This window comes from Homo sapiens, chromosome 13 (assembly GCF_000001405.40).
Source record: "Homo sapiens chromosome 13, GRCh38.p14 Primary Assembly".
Classification (NCBI taxonomy): Eukaryota; Metazoa; Chordata; class Mammalia; order Primates; family Hominidae; genus Homo; species Homo sapiens.
The window spans coordinates 49,286,359-49,305,169 of NC_000013.11; the positions used below are offsets into that span (position 1 = coordinate 49,286,359).

At 45.3% G+C, this 18,811-nt stretch overlaps 1 protein-coding gene across 9 annotated transcripts in view, besides 2 other annotated features; it reads left to right on the forward strand.

Moving 5' to 3' along the window:
• The window catches only part of CDADC1 (cytidine and dCMP deaminase domain containing 1), a 45,561-nt gene extending 38,434 nt beyond the window's left edge, over nt 1–7,127 (forward strand). For 8 of the 9 annotated variants that reach the window (NR_036439.2, NM_030911.4, XM_011535251.2 and 5 more), the window contains one exon: nt 5,326–7,127. Coding sequence is in view for 8 of the 9 variants with exons in the window: in NM_030911.4 (NP_112173.1) it covers nt 5,326–5,399 (74 nt within the window). In the remaining variant the exon portion in view is untranslated. The remainder of the gene's footprint in view (nt 1–5,325) is intronic. The other variant, NM_001193478.2, reaches the window with a different exon arrangement.
• Nucleotides 14,775–15,069: a silencer, noted in NCBI's record as "tiled region #13963; HepG2 Repressive non-DNase unmatched - State 1:Tss". NCBI's record gives its function as "represses a minimal TATA promoter and a strong SV40 promoter by Sharpr-MPRA in HepG2 cells {active_cell/tissue: HepG2}" and the evidence as "EXISTENCE:reporter gene assay evidence [ECO:0000049][PMID:27701403]".
• Nucleotides 17,315–17,609: a silencer, noted in NCBI's record as "tiled region #6847; HepG2 Repressive DNase unmatched - State 8:EnhW". NCBI's record gives its function as "represses a minimal TATA promoter and a strong SV40 promoter by Sharpr-MPRA in HepG2 cells {active_cell/tissue: HepG2}" and the evidence as "EXISTENCE:reporter gene assay evidence [ECO:0000049][PMID:27701403]".

Sequence of the window (18,811 nt, forward strand, 5' to 3'; positions counted from 1 at the left end):
GAAAATTGTGTTAATAGATGGAGCATATTATTTTTGAAGGTTAGATTTTTGCCATTCAATTTGTTCATAAATATTTGTGGGTCTACCATATGCTAGGTGCTATGGAAAGTGCCGATTAATAATTACTCCTATAGAATCTACAGGTTAATACAAATAATTATGCACAAATTGACTTTATAAATTAAATGCATATGAAACAGTAAACAGCAATGCTCTTCTATAACAAAACAAAAGCTTATTGGGGAGTGAGAAAGGAAAAATATGTATAATTAGTACAGATGGATTGGGACCAAATGATGAGGATATATACATTCTTCTAGAGTAAACCCACATTTGCCCAGATTGGAAATGTTCTGGTAACTTGAATAATCTGATTAACTAAGAATCATCACAGCTACCATAATGAATTACTAGTCTTTAAAGCTTTATTATTCGTATACTACTACAGATATTTTGAATGTAATATAATCTTTGAGAAGTCTTACAATTCTTTAGGCACATAATTTTAGATATGAGTGCTATATAATATTATTCTAAAATAGTAACTATAGGCCAGGTGTGGTCACTCACGCCTATAATCCCAGCACTTTGGGAGGCCAAGGCAGGGGGATCACTTGAAATCAGGAGTTCGAGATCAGCTTGGCCAACATGGTGAAACCTCGTCTCCACTAAAAATACAAAAAATAGCCAGGTATCATGGCACATGCCTGTAATCCCAGCTACTTGGGAGTTTGAGGCAGGAGAATCACTTGAATCCAGGAGGTGGAGTTTGCAGTGAGCCGAGATAGCGCCACTGCACTCCAGCCTGGGCGACAGGGCAAAACTCTGTCTCTAAAAATAAAAATAAAACAGTAACTATATTATCGAATTATTTGGATTTGAAGTAAATGGAAGTTTTCTGTAAGTTTTCTTGATAATAACAATTTTTTAACCTTGAAAAATCAAGAAGTATAAAGGTCTTAGAATAATTTTTCTGTGAATATATTGATTTTCAGTGTTCTGAATTAGCTTTATTTGATTCAAATAGAAAATGTATTGTTTGCAATTTGGAAAAAAGTACATATCCACTGCATCTTTCTTTTTAAAAATTTATTAGCAAAAAAGGCTGTATCTATCTATCTATCTATCTATCTATCTATCTATCTATCTATCGGTCTGTCTCTCTGTCTATCTATACATCTGATTAAATAATGTACACTCAATGACAGTGTTTGAAGGGGCCAATGAATAATTTCCTATGTTAGGGAAAGGATACAAAAAGCACGAATCATAAAAAGGTTAATTTATCTATGCTACAATGAAGAATATCTGTTCATTAAAATATATTACTAGGCCAGGTGCAGTGGCTCACACCTGTAATCCCAGTGCTTTGGAAGGCTGAGGTGGGTGAATTGCTTGAGCCCAGGAGTTTGAAACCAGGCTAGGCAACATGGCAAAACCCTCTCTCTACAAAAAATACAAAAATTAGCCAATTGTGGTGGCACATGCCTGTGGTCCCAGCTACTCAGGAGGCTGAGGTGGAAGGATCTCTTAAGCATGAAGAGGTTGAGGCTGCAGTGATCCATGCTTGTACCACTCTACTCCAACCTTGGCAACAGAGTGAGACCCTGCCTTAAAAAAAAAAAAAAAAAAGATATCACTACAAGAGTGCAAAGGCAAGCCATGGAATATGAGAAGATACTTGCCACTTATAATCAACAAAGGGCTTGTATCTAGGATTTATTATTCCTAGATTACTAAGGAAAAGGAAGACATGCTGTGGTTAAAGCCCCAAGATTGGAAGGAGGGGACAAAAGGAAGGCTTCTGGTTTGCTGGCAATGTTTTATTTATTGACCCAGATGATGGTTACATATGTTTGCTTTGTGACAGTTCAACTGAACAGTTAAGTTTATGTTTATGCATTTTTGAACAAGTGTTTGATCTCAGTAAGCAATACCCCATTTCCTTTTTAATTATATGATAGTTTTACTGATATGTAATTCATCTATCATAAATTTGCTTCTTTAGTAGATTCACGAAGTTGTACAGGCATCACTACAACATAATTTCAGAACATTTTCATTATCTGAGAAAGAAGTCTCATGCCTATTTGCAGTCACTCCCCATTCTTCACTCCCCCTAGCCCTAGGCAACCACTCTTTCAGTTTTTATGGATTAGTCTATTCTGGCCATTTCATATAAATGGAATCATACAGTATGTAATTCCTTTCCAATTTTTGATTCAGTTGAGAAATAGACACCAGAATCAACAGATGAAAGTTACAACACCAGCTTTGTTGTTAGACTGGGGCTTGACTTTTGGGTAAATCAGTCTGTCTAACTCAGAGGGGGACTTGCTGCTGGATACTCTCTCAGTGCCAGTAGCAGGGACAAACAGAGAAGGAAGGCAGGCAGTGTGACTGACAACTCTCAAGTGCCCTTCCACTCCATGCAAATGGAACCCAGGTAACCCATAACAAGCATTCTTTTTAAAGAGTCATGGAGCTTTCAAGAAAATAAGAGAAATATTCTCCTAAGAACAAAATAGAGATAAGAAGGCATTTTGCTAGAATCTGAGGAGCAATAGTAAGCGAACACAATAGCCAGAGCTATCCTGGGGACAAATGTCCATATAAGCTGGGATCTGAGATCAGGTCTGGGTCTGCTGCAAGGTGAGTGAACTGAACTTAGTTCACCCAATCAACACATGAAAAGATGATTAAACTTATTAGTAGTCAGAGAAATGCAAATTAACATTGCACGGAAGTAGCTTTTTTTTTGCTTTTTTTTTTTTTTTTTTTTTTTTTTATGACGGAGTCTCACTCTGTCGCCCAGTCTGGAGTGCAGTGGCGTGATCCTGGCTCACTGCAACCTCCACCTCCCAGGTTCAAGAGATTCTCCTGCCTTAGCCTCCCAAGTATCTGGGATTACAGGCATGCACCACCATGCCCAGCTAATTTTGTATTTTTAGTAGAGACGAGGTTTCACCACGTTGGCTAGGCTAGTCTCAAACTCTGGACCTCAGGTGATCTGCCCGCCTTGGCCTCCGAAAGTGCTGGGATTACCGGCATGAGCCACCACGCCTGGCCTGAAATAGCATTTTTTATAAGCGTATGCCCTAGAGAAACTCTTGCATATTGTATAAGAGTCAGAGAGACAAAGAATTTGTTGCTATATTGTTTTTAAAAGCAAAAACTGGAAATAACACAAATGTTTGTTTTGGGTGGTTAGATAAAAATATTATGGTGTATTCCCACAATGGACTACCATATAGCAGTGAAAACAAATGAACTAGAGCTACATTCTTCAACATGGATGAATCTTAGAAATATAAATGTTGAATTTAACAAAGCAAACTACAGAATTATGATACCATTTCTGTATAAAGTTCAAAAAGACATACCATATATTGGTTAAATGTGGTAGGCCAGGCATGGTGCTCACACCTATAATCCCAGCATATTGGGAGACTGAAGCGGGCCAATTGCTTGAGCCCAGGAGTTCAAGACCAGCCTGGGCATCACAGCAAAACTCCATCTCTACAAAAGATACAAAAAATTAGTTTGGCATGGTGGCCTGTGCCTGTAGTCCCAGCTACCGCAGAGGCTGACATAGGAGGATCACCTGAGCCCAGGAGGTTGAGGATGCAGTGAGCTGAGATCACACCACTGCACTCCAGCCTGGGTAACAGACTGAGACAGACCCTGTCTCAAAAAATATATAAATAAATAAATAAAATATACTTTAATATATAGTATATACAGTAAAGTTATTGTTAAGAAGCAATCGATTGATAAACACAAAAATCAAGATAGGAGTTGCCTCTGAGTGGGGTGAAAGGGGATGGGACGAGAGAGGGAGCGCACGGGAATTGATAATGTTCTAGTTGTTGGATTCGGCAGTATGTTTTGTTTTTTTTCCATCTCCCCCCAACACACATAATGTAGTTTTATTCAGTTTTAAACAAACTGTAACTCTTTTGGGGCAGTAAGTTCATGAGTGTTCATTTTATTGTTAGGCTTTAGAACTCCCATCTGTATTATGTATGTATTATTATATATTACATAATACATTATATATAGAGAGAGAGAATGTTTCAAATATTACATGATATGATGAGAACAAGAAAGAGAGAGGGGTGGCTTTCCAGATCTACCTCTGGAAGGCAAGTCTGAGCCCTGGCCCAGGTGTCCTTAGGACAAGGAAACAGCAGGGCAGAACATACAGGCTCAGGGCAGGAAATCCCTCAAAAGATGGGAAGAAAGGGGCAGAAAGAAGCTTTTGCAGGTGATAGATATGTTCATTGTCTTGACTGTGGGGATAGTTTCATGAATGTGTACTTATGTCAGAAATCATGAAACTGGACTAAGCAAAATGGCTCCTTCCTGTGATCCCATCATTTTGGGAGGCTGAGGTGGGAGGATTGCTTGAGGCCAAGAGTTCAAGACCAGTTTGGGTAACAGACTGAGAACCCCATCTCTACAAATATTACAAATCAAAAAGTAAATTAAAAAAATTCATCAAGCTATACACTTTATGTTTAGTTTATTGCATACTTTAAACATGTATCATTTATTGTACAAATAAAGCTATTAAACACAAAAGCCAGGAAGAGGTTGAAGCCATACTCTTTTCCCAGCCTGCCCAGTCAGATAAGTCCGTCTTCCTTCCAGTCCCCAGATTCTCCCTACCCCACACACAGTCCCCTTCTCCCTTAGGAGGTACATTTTATTTCTTCCAGTCTAGTAATAGGACGTCCCCCCACCAAAAACATAAAACAAAAAGTTTTATGAATTACTTGCCGTACACTGTTGAGTGAATTCAGTTTTTGGTTTTTTTTTTTTTTGAGACAGGGTCTCGCTGTGTCACCCAGGCTGGAATGCAGTGGCACAGTCATGGCTCACTGCAGACTTGGCCTCTCTGGGCTCAAACAGTCCTCCCACCTCAGGCTCCTGAGTAGCTGGGATTACAGGTGTGCGCCACAACACCTGTTTAAAAAAAAAAAATTTTTTTTGTAGAGATGGGGTCTCCCTATGCTGCCCAAGCTGGTCTTGAACTCTTGGGATCAAGTTATCCTCCCTCCTCAGCCTCCAAAAGTGTTAAAATTACAGACGTGAGCCATTGCACCCGGCCAATGTGAATCCAGTTTTTAAAAGCCAGATTCTGTATTGCCTGAGAGTAAGTTATCTAGATTGGATTCTCTACAATTGAGAATTTGAAGATAAAATAAAGTGAAAGTTCCTTTAACTTAAGCATTGTTTTGCTCTTACAACATGTAAGGCTGAAACAAGTGCCCATGGGTTTGAAATGAAGCTGTCCTGACCTAGCGTTATTCTCAATGCTAGATGGTGTGTTGAGACCTGTCCCACAGAAGGAAGAGCAGCACCAGGACAAGAAGCTGCGCCTCGGAATCCACTAAGAAGGCCTGTCTACACTGCAGGGGAACCTCAAGAACTTTTCATTGCACTTCTAAAATTCAGCCTTGTTCATTCAGAAAATAAGGATGGATTTTGTGAATAATTGAAAAGATTTTTTAAGGAAGCTAATTTATTTCTAGGATACAAATGGTGTTAATAAGAATATTTGTCTTTTAGATTTATGTGTGGGTTTTCCATAATGTAGTAGTGTGTTATTTTATTACACGAAATGAGGGAGCAATAACTTCAACCAATGTAATCACCAACAGGGACTGATTTCTATTTATCTTGACTTTATATTAGCCAATTTGAAAGGGTCTGCTTCACAAGAGGTCATGCCTCTGCAGGGAATCACACACCTTTTGAGAAATATTAATTCTTTTGAATTACAAGAGTGACAGTTAGTAAACTGCTCCAGGGAAATAAGTGTCATCTTTTAAGAGTCAGTGTATAGCAAACCAAAAGATCACATTTATACCCAAAGCTTTCTAGTAATCAGAATTTACTTAATTAGAATTGACTCATAAAAATAAAGTTAGTGGACTTTGTCTCCATTTTTAAAGTATATTTTGTAAATGTTAATTCTGTGGTCCTGTTTATCACAGACTTTGGGTAGCAATAGGAAGAGAGTGTTATTCTGAGACAGTGTCGCTGCTTGATATCACTGACTCTTGAAATCACTAACAGTGAACCTCAAATTTGGTTATGATGTTAACAGAGAAGAAATATTTGAGTCTGGAATATTGAAACTAGCTTTCCTAGAATTCCATTAATAAATGCTGCTCCCCCATATAGTCTTCCCTTCTGTATAATTAACATAGGTTGTCTCATGGCTTTGATCTTCAAAAGGAAGAGCCTTTTAAAAACATTTGCCAACCTCAAGAATAAATACTGAAAGTCTTGAAAGTATGGTCATTTCAGCTATTCCAGATTGCTGTCTGTGATTTCTCACATTTTTATTTGCTGAGAAACATTCAGAAAATTATTCCAAAAATGAAGGTACATTTTCTGTTCTCTCCTAGGTTAGAGAGGGGTGGCCTGGGGTGCTTCATGAGAAATGTCTTCCTGGATCTGCGGTGGTCAGGTTTGCCTCTGCTTTTGTTCCCTGCCTTTCCGCCACATCACACGGCCTCACTGGGCTTCCTACCAGTTTCTCAGAATTACACGCACGACCATCCAAACATTGGCTCCATGCCAGGGCTGTGACTGCAGCCTGTGTAGGACCATGGGGAGTTCAGAGTCATCATACAAGGCAGCCAAGAACTGCCATAAACACTACACAGATGGAGGGCATGGGATAGGACAGGAGAGGAGGTGATGTACACTTAGAGGTAACTAAGGCTAGTTTGAAAACCGTGAATTAAGATATTCTTATCAGTATAAAAACACTGAGATTGCTTACCTCCCAAATTGCTTTATTGTATTAACTCTCATGCTTCAGCTCTTGGATTTGTTGTTTCTAACTAACATGTCATGTACACCAAACATTTTATAAATCAATCAGTAAATATTTTGTAAGACCCAAAATCCTGGCATATTGCCAGGTCTGTGGATTTGCCTGTTGGGTGTTGGGATGGGATATCAGAGGAAGAAGCATACAAGTGGGAAAAACTGTGATTAGAAAGGGAAAAATAGGCATTTCCACAGTACTATTAAGAGAGGCATGATAATGCCATTTTTTTTCTTCTGTACAACTGGTCAGATTTCAATAAATAATCATTGATGGTTTACTGTGTAGCCTCAGAAGGTGAAGTCTATGAGGGCAGGGAGGTGTGTGTGTGTGTGTGTGTGTACTTTTTAACTGCTGAACCCCAGTGTCTAGAACAGTACCTGGCACACAGTAGGCATTCCATAAATATTTGTTTATTGATTGAATGACTGCTAAACACTGCTAGACTGCGGGGATGAGATGTGTGAGAAATGCCTCCTGATCTTAAGACACTCACAGTCAAGTGGAAGATACAAGCATGGAATCAAGTAATTAAGAAAAATGATTCTCAGGCCAGGTGCCGTGGCTCACACCTGTAATCCCAGCACTTTGGGAGGCTGAGTGGGGTAGATCACTTGAGGTCAGGAGTTCAAGACCAGCCTGGTCAACATGGTAAAACCCCGTCTCTACTAAAAATACAAAAAAAAAAAAAAAAAAAAAAAGCTAGACATGGTATTGCATGCCTGTAATCCCAGCTATTTGGGAGACTGAAGCAGGAGAATCACATGAACCCAGGAGGCAGAGGTTGCAGTGAGCTGAGATCATGCCACTGCACTCCAGCCTGGACAACAGAGCGAGACTTAGTCTAAAAGAAAAGAAAAGAAAAAAATGTCTCTGGACCAGCAGACTATTTGTTAGAAGTGCATATTCTTAGGGTGCTCCCTAGGCTTACTGAATTAGAACCTCTCAGGGTGGGCCCAGCAAGCTGGGGTTTCACGACCTTGCGGGTGATTCTGGTGACCTTTAAGGCTGAGAACTGCCATTGTGGATGTAACTGTAGGAACAGTGGGGGCACACGAGGATTTACCAGCACTCTGGGGAGTCATGGAAAGGACCCTGTAGAGGCAGAGGTGATGAGGTGGGGCCTGAGGGGATCCAGGGGTTTGCCAGGTAAACAGTGGGAATGAGACAAATTTCTGGGAAAAAGTGATGGAGACAGACTGCTGAGCCACCCCAGGAGCCCGCCTGGGTTTGGAGAAGCTCTGTGGGGCACTTTTGACCCAGATCTATAAATTCCCAGTCTTCATCCCTTAGCCTGAGAAATCAGAACTTACACTTAAACAAAAAATACAATGTCTTTCTAAATTTCAAAGAATGGGAGGATGATGGTAAGTTCATAATTTGTAAAAAAAAAAAAAAAAAAAAAAAATAGCTCTGCCATTTGTTTACTGCCTAAGTGGCCACAGAATATGCTACTGTGAGGGGAGCTAAGTGTAAGCATTTGCCTGGCTTCCTTCATCCCAGTCATGCAGAACATACGCAGGTGTGTGTATTTTCATTGTATTGCTGCTGAAGCTTTTTCTTTCCTTTTTCAAGACAGGGTCTCACTCTGTTGCCCAGGCTGGAGTGCAGTGGTGCCTTCATAGCTCACTGCAGCCTTGACTGTTTTCTGTGCTCAAGCGGTCCTCCCCACCTCAGCCTCCCAAGTAGCTGGGACTACAGGCACGTGCCACCACGCCTGGCTAGTTTATTTTTTATTTATTTTTTGTAGAGACAGGGGTCTTGCTATGTTGCCCAGGCTGGTCTTGAACTCCTGGCCTCAAGCAATCCTCCTGCCTCTGCCTCCCAAAGTGCTGTGATTACAGGCATGAGCCACCGCGCCTGGCCAAGTTAGCTTTATTTCTGGGTCAATGAATGGTACCAACACTCTATAAACATGAACTCTATCTTTAGTGACACTATGATACATAAATGAGCTTATCGCCCCTGAATGTCTATATCTAAACCCACGTAACACTTGGGAAGGAGAAAGAAAGAAGTGAGCCCATCTTGGGACAGGAGCTCCTTTGGTGAGTGTAGCACAGAGTGATTTGTTAGGGAAAGCACATGTCTTTCCAGAAGGACATGAGCCAGAACTTTCCTGGAATACTTCCCACCACCCCATGATTCTCAGAAATTGGGGTCCAGGCCAGGATGAACGAGAAAGAAACCACAGTTCATCCCAGTGCTGACACCCGTACCCAGAGAGGCCCGGGCCGGGGATGTATCCCAAGGACAAAAGGTGGAGGGAGGAGGCTGGGGGGAGTTCACTTCCTGTGGAGTGAATGGAAACAGCCTGGCTCTGCCTAATGTGCATGAGGGGCTGGGGGTGGCTTGAACAGCTTGAAGTACCTTGTGTAGTGTGTGCGCACATTCACAATGTTAGAAAAAAACAAAAACAAGAGCTAAGCGAGAAGTCTGAAATACTGTGGTGTATGATGCTGTTGAGTTGCAAGAAATGGAAGCTCGTGAGCCGGGAGGCTTCTGTGTGGCAGATCGTAACTCCTGACCAACTTTGTTTCACCCATGATGATAACCAGCAGAGGTTCTCCAGGTTGTTTATTTTTGAACATGGTACAATTCATTAACAAATATTTGCCAGGGCTTAGCTTACCATGAGCCAGGCACTGTGAGGAGTGCAGTTACAGTGGTGAGGAAAACCAGACACAAACCCTGCCCTCGTGGAGCTTATCGTCTAGTTGGGGAGATGGACATACATCAGTATTCATGAAAATGAATGAAAGGTACACAGAAAAGAACTGGCCTCCCAACAAATACAGGGACATGTTTTTTCAGTTCTTCCACTTCACAGAGATCTGGTACTATTATAATGGCACCATGGGCTGCACTTAGTGGACCCAGAAAGTTCTACTGGTTTGGGTTTTTTAAAAGATATCCTACACGCTTAAGCAGGGAATCTTTTGGAAACCTCTGGAAGAACAATCATATTAAACATGCAAATAGGGCTGGGCACGGTGGCGCACACCAGTAATCCCAGCACTTTGGGAGGCTGAGGCAGGTGGATCATGAGGTCAGGGGTTTGAGACCAGCCTGGCCAACATGGTAAAACCCTGTCTCTACTAAAAATACAAAAAAAAAAAAAAAGAAAGAAAGAAACTAGCCAGGCATGGTGGCGTGGGCCTGTAATCCCAGCTACTCAGCAGGCTGAGGCATGAGAATCACTTGAATCCAGGAGGCGGAGGTTGCAGTGAGCCAATATCGTGTCACTGCACTTCAGCCTGGGCAAAAGAGCAAGACTATATAAAAAAAAAAAAAAAATTGGACCATGACCCTTAACCTCAAGATTCTGTGACTTGTCAGGGTGGAAAAAAATGTATGTAAATAAGTATAGATGTGATAAGCTTTAATAAAGAGCAGGGGAATTTAGAGAAACTGTACCAAGCATTAAATGTATTATTTTTAGTAACCAGAAATTCCTTCTATTGATGTAATTAAGATTTTATAGTGTTTGAGAGGCCAAGGCAGGAGGACCACTTGAAGCCAGGAGTTCAAGACCAGCCTGGGAAACATAGCAAGACCCTGTCTCTCCAAAAAGAAACTAAAAAATTAGCCAGTTGTGGTGGTGCACACCTGTAGTCCCAAGCTGCTAGAGAGGCTGAAGCGGGAGAATCACTTGAGCCTAGGAGTTCAAGGCTGCAGTGAGCTATGCTTGCACCACTGCACTCCAGCCTGGGTGACAGAGTGAGACACTGTTTCAAATAGAAAAAAAACTGCATATAGTACTTTACTCTCAGATATGAGTGTTTCTGTTGACCAGGAATTTTACCATTCCTGGTTCTCTGATGCGGAGGTGGCCTTGTGAAAGGACACAGTTTCTGCTGAGCTGAACACGCTTTAGTGTAATCTGATGAAGAACTTCTATGCTGGTTGCGGTATTGGTGGAAAGTGTTTTATTTTGCAGAAAAAGCACAAATTCCACAGAGGGCAACAGTTATCCATTCACTCCATAGCTATCTATTGCTGCATGACAGACTACCCCCTAAAACTTAGTGGCCCATGCCACTATTTTATTTTGCATGATTCTGTGAGCCAGGAATTTGGGCAAGATTCAGCAGAACAGCTCTACTCCCTGTGGCACTGGCTGGGGTCATGGACGGTTGTGTGCCACTGGTGGGTCAGTTGAGAGGGGGGCCCAGCCGGCACAGGGACAGTGAGGCTGGACCATCCAAGGGGCTTCTTTCAGGTTTCTGGTGCCTCAGCTTGGATGGCTGAAACAGCTGGCAGCTGGCCAGGGCTCTCCAGCAGGGTGGCCAGACCTCTATGAGGTGGCAAGGGCTCTGAAAGTGAATGCTCCACAAGGATGGGCCCAGTGTGTCCCCCTTGCATCATGCTGGCTCATGGATCACTGGCCAAGGCCAGTTTCGTGGCCACACCCAGAGTCCATGTGGAGGGGCCTGCACAGGACATGAAGCCAGGAGGTATAGTTCACAGGGGAACACAAAAGTAACGTTCACTGCAGGGACAGAGCAGATCACTGAAGGGAATGCCACTGGGAATCGAGCCCCATGTCCTGGCCCCTGAGCAGAGTTCTGTCCCCAAGACCATTACTCCTCATGGAACTTTTCACCTCCCTCACACTTACGGCAATGCTAACAGTCACTACACACGGTTCTGAGAACCTTCAAATTGAAGCCCTCATGATGTTTCCTAAGAAGTTGCAGTTGTCCAAATCCACAAACCCAGATTTTAGTTGGCAAGTCTGAGAGGTTCTGGGTAACTGTTTTGCTGCACAAACGTGGGTATTCCTGAAAGTTTAAAGATTCATCTTCAACATGCTAGGGAAAGCCACCATGATAGCTAGTCTAATAATGCCCAGACCATCCCCTCATTGATGAATGGAAGGCTCACATTTTAAGATGAATATGGGCCAGGGAGGTTTCACCTTTCTTGGCTGAGGTTGATGCCAAAGTGATAAACCTTGGTGCTTCCCGCCTCCCTGTTCCCTGGGGATGGGCCAGAATCAGATGCCATCAGGGACCCTGCAGGCAATTCTGAGAATTCCTTTTAAGAAGACACCTGCAGGAAGGGTGAACCGCTTTCTAGCCCTTCTGCAGCCAGCCACTCCCCCTGCCTTTTGATGACACAGGTTCTGCATAAGGTGAGAGGGAGGACAGGGTGACATCCATTTCTTGTAAAAATGCCTCAATGAGAAAAGGGCCACATGCATTTCTTGTAAAAATGCATCAGTGAGAAAAACAACAGCAGCAGCAACAACAGCAAATATTTACTGAATCTCCTAGTATGATCCAAGCCCCCAAATCAAGAAAATGTGAATGCTGATGTAAAAAAGGAAGGTATTTGTTCAAACTGCCTGGCCAGTGTTTTTGAAGAAAACAGAGATCTCCAGAGACCCCTTTTTTGGTCCTAAGTAGCAAGCAAACAAGTTCATTAAATGTGTACTGTTTATTTGTGATGTCTCCAAGCAGAGTAGTTGGCTCTTGTTATATATCTGGGAGAATAATCAATGATTTATGCTTCTGACAGTCTTATCATAGCCATTTACATAATGGTCATGTGTATTTGTGACTTTAATACCCTCTGCATATAGCCTTAATTTTTAAATGGATTACACTGTTTTGCTGTTGTGACTTTGCTTGTTTAATCATAGCTAAGACTTTTCTGAAGTCAAATACTTTTTCCATTATCACAGTGAGGCGTTGGCAAAAAAGTGGGGGCTTGCTGGTTACACTTGCTGAAAATAAATCTTGCGTTTATTTGGACTCTCAAGATTGGAGCTCTGAATTCACATAGTCCAGTGTTTATGCACAGAGCACCACTGGCATTGCCATTGATTACGACTGGCATGACCACTGCCAGAGGTTTAGCAGCCCTGGCACACATCCACCAAATGCCATTTCAATCACTCAGAAATTTCTACAACAACAGAAGGCCCCCCACATGTTGGGATAGTGGGCTGCCCTTGCTTGAGCACAGCTGATCGATCCAACCACTGGTCAGCGGTTGCATCTCCTCTTCAACACTCCCCTAAAGGGACAGATCAGCCGGGCTCTGCTCCAGCATCCCCAGCGATGAAGAAGTCACCACCTCCTGAAGCCACATTGGCCTGTCCTCATTATTAACATGTTATTTTTATGGAGTAAACTCCTCCCCCATCACCCCCTCAGACCTTGTCTATAACACAGGCCTCTTTGTGTCTCCTCCCCTACAGGAATGCCCTGGAGTACTTGAAAGTAGCCATTGTGTTCCTGCTGTCCTGTGACAGCCTCCCACCTCTCCTGGAAACTTACTGTGTCATTGTAGCTAGGTTTGCATTTTACAGTGAAGCATTTTTTACTTCACCTCATTAAATGTTCACACTGTGAAGCAGGGATTAGCATTTCCACTGTACGGATAATGAAATGGAGTCTCAGGTTAAACGACTTACCCAAGGCTACACTGCTAACGATTGGCAGAGCCAGAACATGAATCTGCTCCAAATTCAATGCCTTTCATAATTTTCCCAATATGCACTTCATTTTTTTTTCTTTTCTTTTTGAGACAGAATGTCACTCCTATTGCCCAGGCTGGAGTGCAGTGGTGTGATCCCGACTCACTGTAGCCTCGACTTCTTGGGCTCAGGTGATCCTCTCAACTCAGCCTCCCGAGTAGCTGGGACTATAGGGGCACACCACCACACCTTGCTAATTTTTGTATTTTTTGTAGAGATGGAGTTTTGCCATGTTGCCCAGGTTGGTCTCAAACTCCTGAACTCAAGCAGTGTGCCCACCTCGGCCTCCCAGAGTGCTGGAATTACAGGCGTGAGCCACCGCGCCCGGCACAATATGCAATTCGTTTTGTCCAGCCTCTCCCTCTGATGTCTTCATTCTTCCCATTACAACTCCGCATGTCTCCTGTGGTGGAAGGCATCAGTGGCCCCAATTTTTCACCCTTCCCTTTCACATGTTTTGCCAGTTCCATCAGCAGGTGGAACTTGTTGGGGGACTTTGTTTTCAATAGAATAAGATGGAAATGTCCTCGTGTGAGTTTCGACATTAGGCTCAAGAAGCCTGTGTGTTTCCACTTTGCGTTTCTGCCATCACCAAACATCCGGAGCAGAGCCACCCCAGCTAGCCCAGCCGAGATTAGGTGACTCCCAGCCACCCCACAGACTTAGGAAGAAAACATTGGTTTTATTTAAGTTATTGCGTTTCAGGGGGCTGGTTATGCTGCAGTTGCTAAGCAATACATTTCTCCAACTTTCAAAAAGCTTCCCTTTCCCCACGGGGTTCCTTTCCCTTCATTACTTGGAAGCCTGTGCTAGCTTTCTCAACATCCTCCTCCTGTTTATTCCACAAACCACTGCTGCCTTTCTGCTCCCCCTCCCCATGGGAAGGTGCTCCCCAACTCCTAGTGGCCTAACCCTGCTTGGGCCCTGGGCCTTCAGTGTGCAGCATCAACTCGTCCTGAACCTCTCCTTTTTTGGCTTCATAACGCTTACCTCTTGTCGGCCTCGACCTGTTCTTGTGTTTCTTATCTCTCTCCTCTCCTCCCATGGCTCTTCCTGGGCCCTCTCACCTCTTTGCTTCCTCTCCAGGGCCCCCATCCTTTCCCAGGACCTCGAGGACCACCAAAGTGCTGACGACTGTTCCCAGCCTGCGTCTCTTCCCAGGTGCAGCTGTGTGTGCACGCCCCTAGACCGCTCCCCCGGGGGCCTGATTCACAGCAATGATCACCAGCACGTGAGGAAAGACTGGCGTAGGGGAGAGTGGCCAGGGTTCCCGCCAGAGAGGTGTTGCAGGAGTCCAGGCGAGAAGCGATGCGGCCCAACAGGGCATTAGGGTCACCAGAACCCCCTGTCTGGGCACCCATGCTTCTACCTGCAGAGCTGGAGTTTTGTTTGCAGACCTTAGTGTGGGACTTCACATTTATCCTTATTAAATCTAGGCATGGTCAGATTGCACCCAACACTGCAGCTTGTCCTACCGCTTGCTAATTTTGTTTCAGACACTAATTAGGCGTCGCTCTCAGAGACCAGGGTCACTCAGGCATTTGATCAATGTGTTACTTGTGTCCCATCCAAGTCATCGATAATGTTGAATAGAAAGGGCCCAGCAGGAACACAGTAAAGACTGTTACTTGTTTTAGCCACTAGAGGGCTGCATGTCCCAGAAATTGATGCAGGTGCTGCTTAGAAGTGAAACTAGGAAATGTGAGCACTGTTGGGTTCTATGGGGTTTGGAGTTTCCAGGGCGGGGGCGCAGAGGAGAGTGTAGCACACTGGGGAGCAGCAGATGGTTGTAGCATTCGTGGGCAAGGAGAGGGAGGAGTAGGGGGTTGGCAGAGACCACGAAGGGCCTTAGGAACACTTCTGGGGAGCAATAGGGAGCCATAGAAGGACTTTAAGCAGAGGCCACACGATCATATTTGCTTTTTTTTTTTTTTTTGAGACAGGGTCTCTCTCTGTCACCCAGGCTGCAGAGCAGTGACATGATCACGGCTTACTGCAGCCTTCACCTTTTGGACTCAAGTGATCCTCCTGCCTCAGATTCCTGAGTAGCTGGGATTACCGGTGTGCACCAACACACCTGGCTAATTTTTTATTTTTATTTTTGTAGAGACAGTTTCCAGGCTGGTTTCAAACTCCCGGGCTCAAGCGATCCTCCCACCTCAGCCTCCCAAAATGCTGGGATTACAGGCACTAGTCACTGCGCCCAGCCCCTATTTGCATCTTAAAGCAGTCACTCCAGCATCCGTGTGGAATGGAGGGAGGAAGAAGGGAATTGGATGGCTGCTGGTTGGTTCAGAATGAGAAATGATAAAGGTCTAAGGTGACATCTGAAGGGAATAAAGGAGGGGACAGAGGAATGTAAGTGAACTGAGCAGAATGAGGGCAGAGTGGCAGGGGACAGAATGGCAGGAGCCACCCAACAGGAGGGGAGGGGGAGGGAATGGGAGGGAAGGGAGGGTCACCTGGAAGATGTGAGGGGGCCAGGGAGTGAGGAGAGAAAGAGGAAAGTGAAATTGTGCTTTGTAAAGAATGAGTCGTACATTCACTCACGATAGAGCATTTATTATGTCGCAGACACTGGGCTAGACCCTGGGGATACATTCATGAGGGAAACAGACACTGCCCCTGCCCTGGAGTTTTGCACCCTAGTGGAGAGACAGCAGGTATTTGGGGCGGGAGGCTCCTGTGCTGGGCCTGGGAAGCCCAGAAGTGGGTATTTAAGCTGAGAGAGCAAGGATGAGAAGCAGCAGCCGGTGAAGAAAGCTGGGAAGACTATTCCCAGCAGAAGGAACGGTATCAGGGAAGGCCCTTTGGGAGGGATGGAAAAGCAGCCAGGCTTGCTGGACTTGTTGCAGGAGGAAGGCTCGGCCTGATCCTGTGTGCTTTAAGGACAGTGGTCAGGGCTTTGGGTTTGATTCTGTGCATCAAGGGAAGCCACTAGAGGGTTTGGGGGCAGGAGAGAACCATGACCAGATGCGACCTATGAAAAGATCACTTTGGATGCTTGCAGAGATGGGGTGCAGTCCAGGTGGGAGCCATGCAGATGCAGAGAGCTGCTCAGATGGGACACAAGTCTCAGAAGCAGAAATGCTGATGAATTGGCTGCAGGTGAGAGGCAGAGAGAACTCATGTGCCTTCCTGGGTTTCTGGCATGAACAACTGGGGGAATTTCAGGGGCATCAGCAGAGCTGGGGAAGCCAGGTGCAGGGAGTGACAGGAAGTCACATGCCATATTTTGAACTGTACCTTGGAGAGAGGGAGCCTGAGAGGCATCCAGCCAGCAGGTGAGTGCATGCATGAGCTTGGAGATTGCCGAAGTCGGCCCGGAGCCACAGAGGTGGGAGCCACGGTGGGGCACGCACAGACCACAGACCTGAAGCCTTGCAGGAAGACAGGGAGATGGAGAGGAGATGCGCAGGAGACTGAGTCCAGGCACAACGGTGCTCAGTGCTCGGCTCTGAGGTGGAGGAGGCTGAGCTGAGAGAGCACAGGAGGGTGAGGTTGCCTGGGCGACAGGAGAGGAGAGGGCCTGGAGAAGAGGCCACCAGCTCTGTCACCTGCTGCTGAGGGGTCAGATGAGCACAGGAAATCGCTACTGGATCTGGTGGCTCTGAGGCCCTGGATAGCCCTGGGAAGAGCATCTTCCAGGGAGGTGGGGAAGCCAGAGATGGGTGGGTTGTGAGGTACATCACAGGTGAGGAGGTGTAGCCCATTCGTGGAGAAATTGGAGAAGTTTTGCCCTGAAGGAGGGCAGAGAGACAGAAAAGGGGCTGGAGGGGCAGCTGAGGGATAAATGGTGCTTTTTTGACGGGTGACGCACATCTTGTGCAGGAACTACCTGAAAACTTGTGAAGACATTAGAAAGAAGAGCCAAGACCCAAGAAGGGAATTGAAGGTGCGAGGGAAACTGTCATGCCCGCCCTGCCCTGGCCTTCTTATACGGGTGCCTGTTCCCTGGCTGCAGGTCACGTGCCACATCTTGATTCTGATGGGCATAGCACATTGACAACTGAACAAAGCCACCCGGCTTGGAAATGGTCCCTGGTCAAGGTGAAGGACACGCCTGGTGCTGCCAGAGGCCACCAGGCAGCTGCAGGCACGCCCTCTTCCTTCCTCCCACACGCTTGGTAGCACAGAGCCTCATTCATCCAGGCCAGCAGGTCACAGCCATGGGAATGTCATGCTCAGTTCCCAGGGAAAAGGGCAGAGGCTTTTTCCCCTGCAGAAGAACCAGTCTGCACCTAGGGCCTTGCCCGTTTTCCCCAAGAGTCCTGTGATTATATAAGCATCATCTGTCCCTGATGCTGGGGTCCTGGTCAAGACTTCCCCAGGGCGGGGCTGGGGTGACACAGCTAGGCCCTGGCCTGGAGTTCAACCACCCTTTGTCCTGATGGCACTTTATAAAAACACTGTCAGCCTGGTCTCTGGGATAACAGGGTTACAAGCCTCTGGATGACTAATTGGCCCTCAGAACTAACTGGATCAAATACAAACTTTGGGATGATATTGCGTGCCCCCAGGCCAGGTGGAGACCTAGACTGAGCATGGACACTGCCATGGAGAAAGGACATGGGAACCGTGGGGTCCCCCTGCTGCCCAGCCACCCCCACACCTCGGGTTGAGGTGGGATGTAGGTTACAGATAAGGTTAAAATACAAATGGAGGCAGGTGAAAAGTTGGGTGGGTCCGGAGGTTTGAATCGCAGCAAGGAATGGATCGCTTCCTCTTCACCCAGACCTCAGCTGCTCCCTAAATCTCAGTGACCGCCAAATCGGTGCCTCTGGCCCACGTCTTTCTTGAGCCCCAGACTCATTTGTCCAACGGCTGCCTGGACATCCCCACGCCACGTCTCCAGGCACAGGACACTCGTGTGCCTCTGCCCCCCATCCCGGGCTCCCTGTCTTGGCTGAGCACATCCCCTTCTACTCAGGTCACCCACGCCACAGGCCCATGTCCTCCAGAAATGGTTCAGCTATGCCTGGTCAATAGTAAATCCTAAGTATCTCCCAAGTTCTATGGCTGCTGCCTCTGGGCTCTGGGTTTGAATCCTGCACCACCATCTGCTCACTGTATAATTGGGTGAGCAACCCTCTCAGTCCCTGTTTCCATGCCTGTAATATTGGGATTGTGAAAGATGTCATAATCAGAATGGAGCCACTTTTGTTAAAAACAAATCCTGACAAATAGAGCCAAGGGAAGGCCATGAAGAGAAATATTCGCATGCATAAATGCCTAATAACAAAAACTACCACGGCAGACTATGAAAACTGCAACCTTGCACAAAAAATGCTTCTAGGAGGACAGCTGCCCAGTAACTACCTGTCCAGCCTTGGACTGGTGTCCCTCTTGCAATTAACCCTTGCAGCCAAGGATCATTACTTCAAAGCAACAATACAGTCCTCACTTTCCTTCACCTTTGCCTTCCTTCATCTCCCTGAAGGCACACGTGCTTTTTACTCTGGCAGGCATACTCCCTG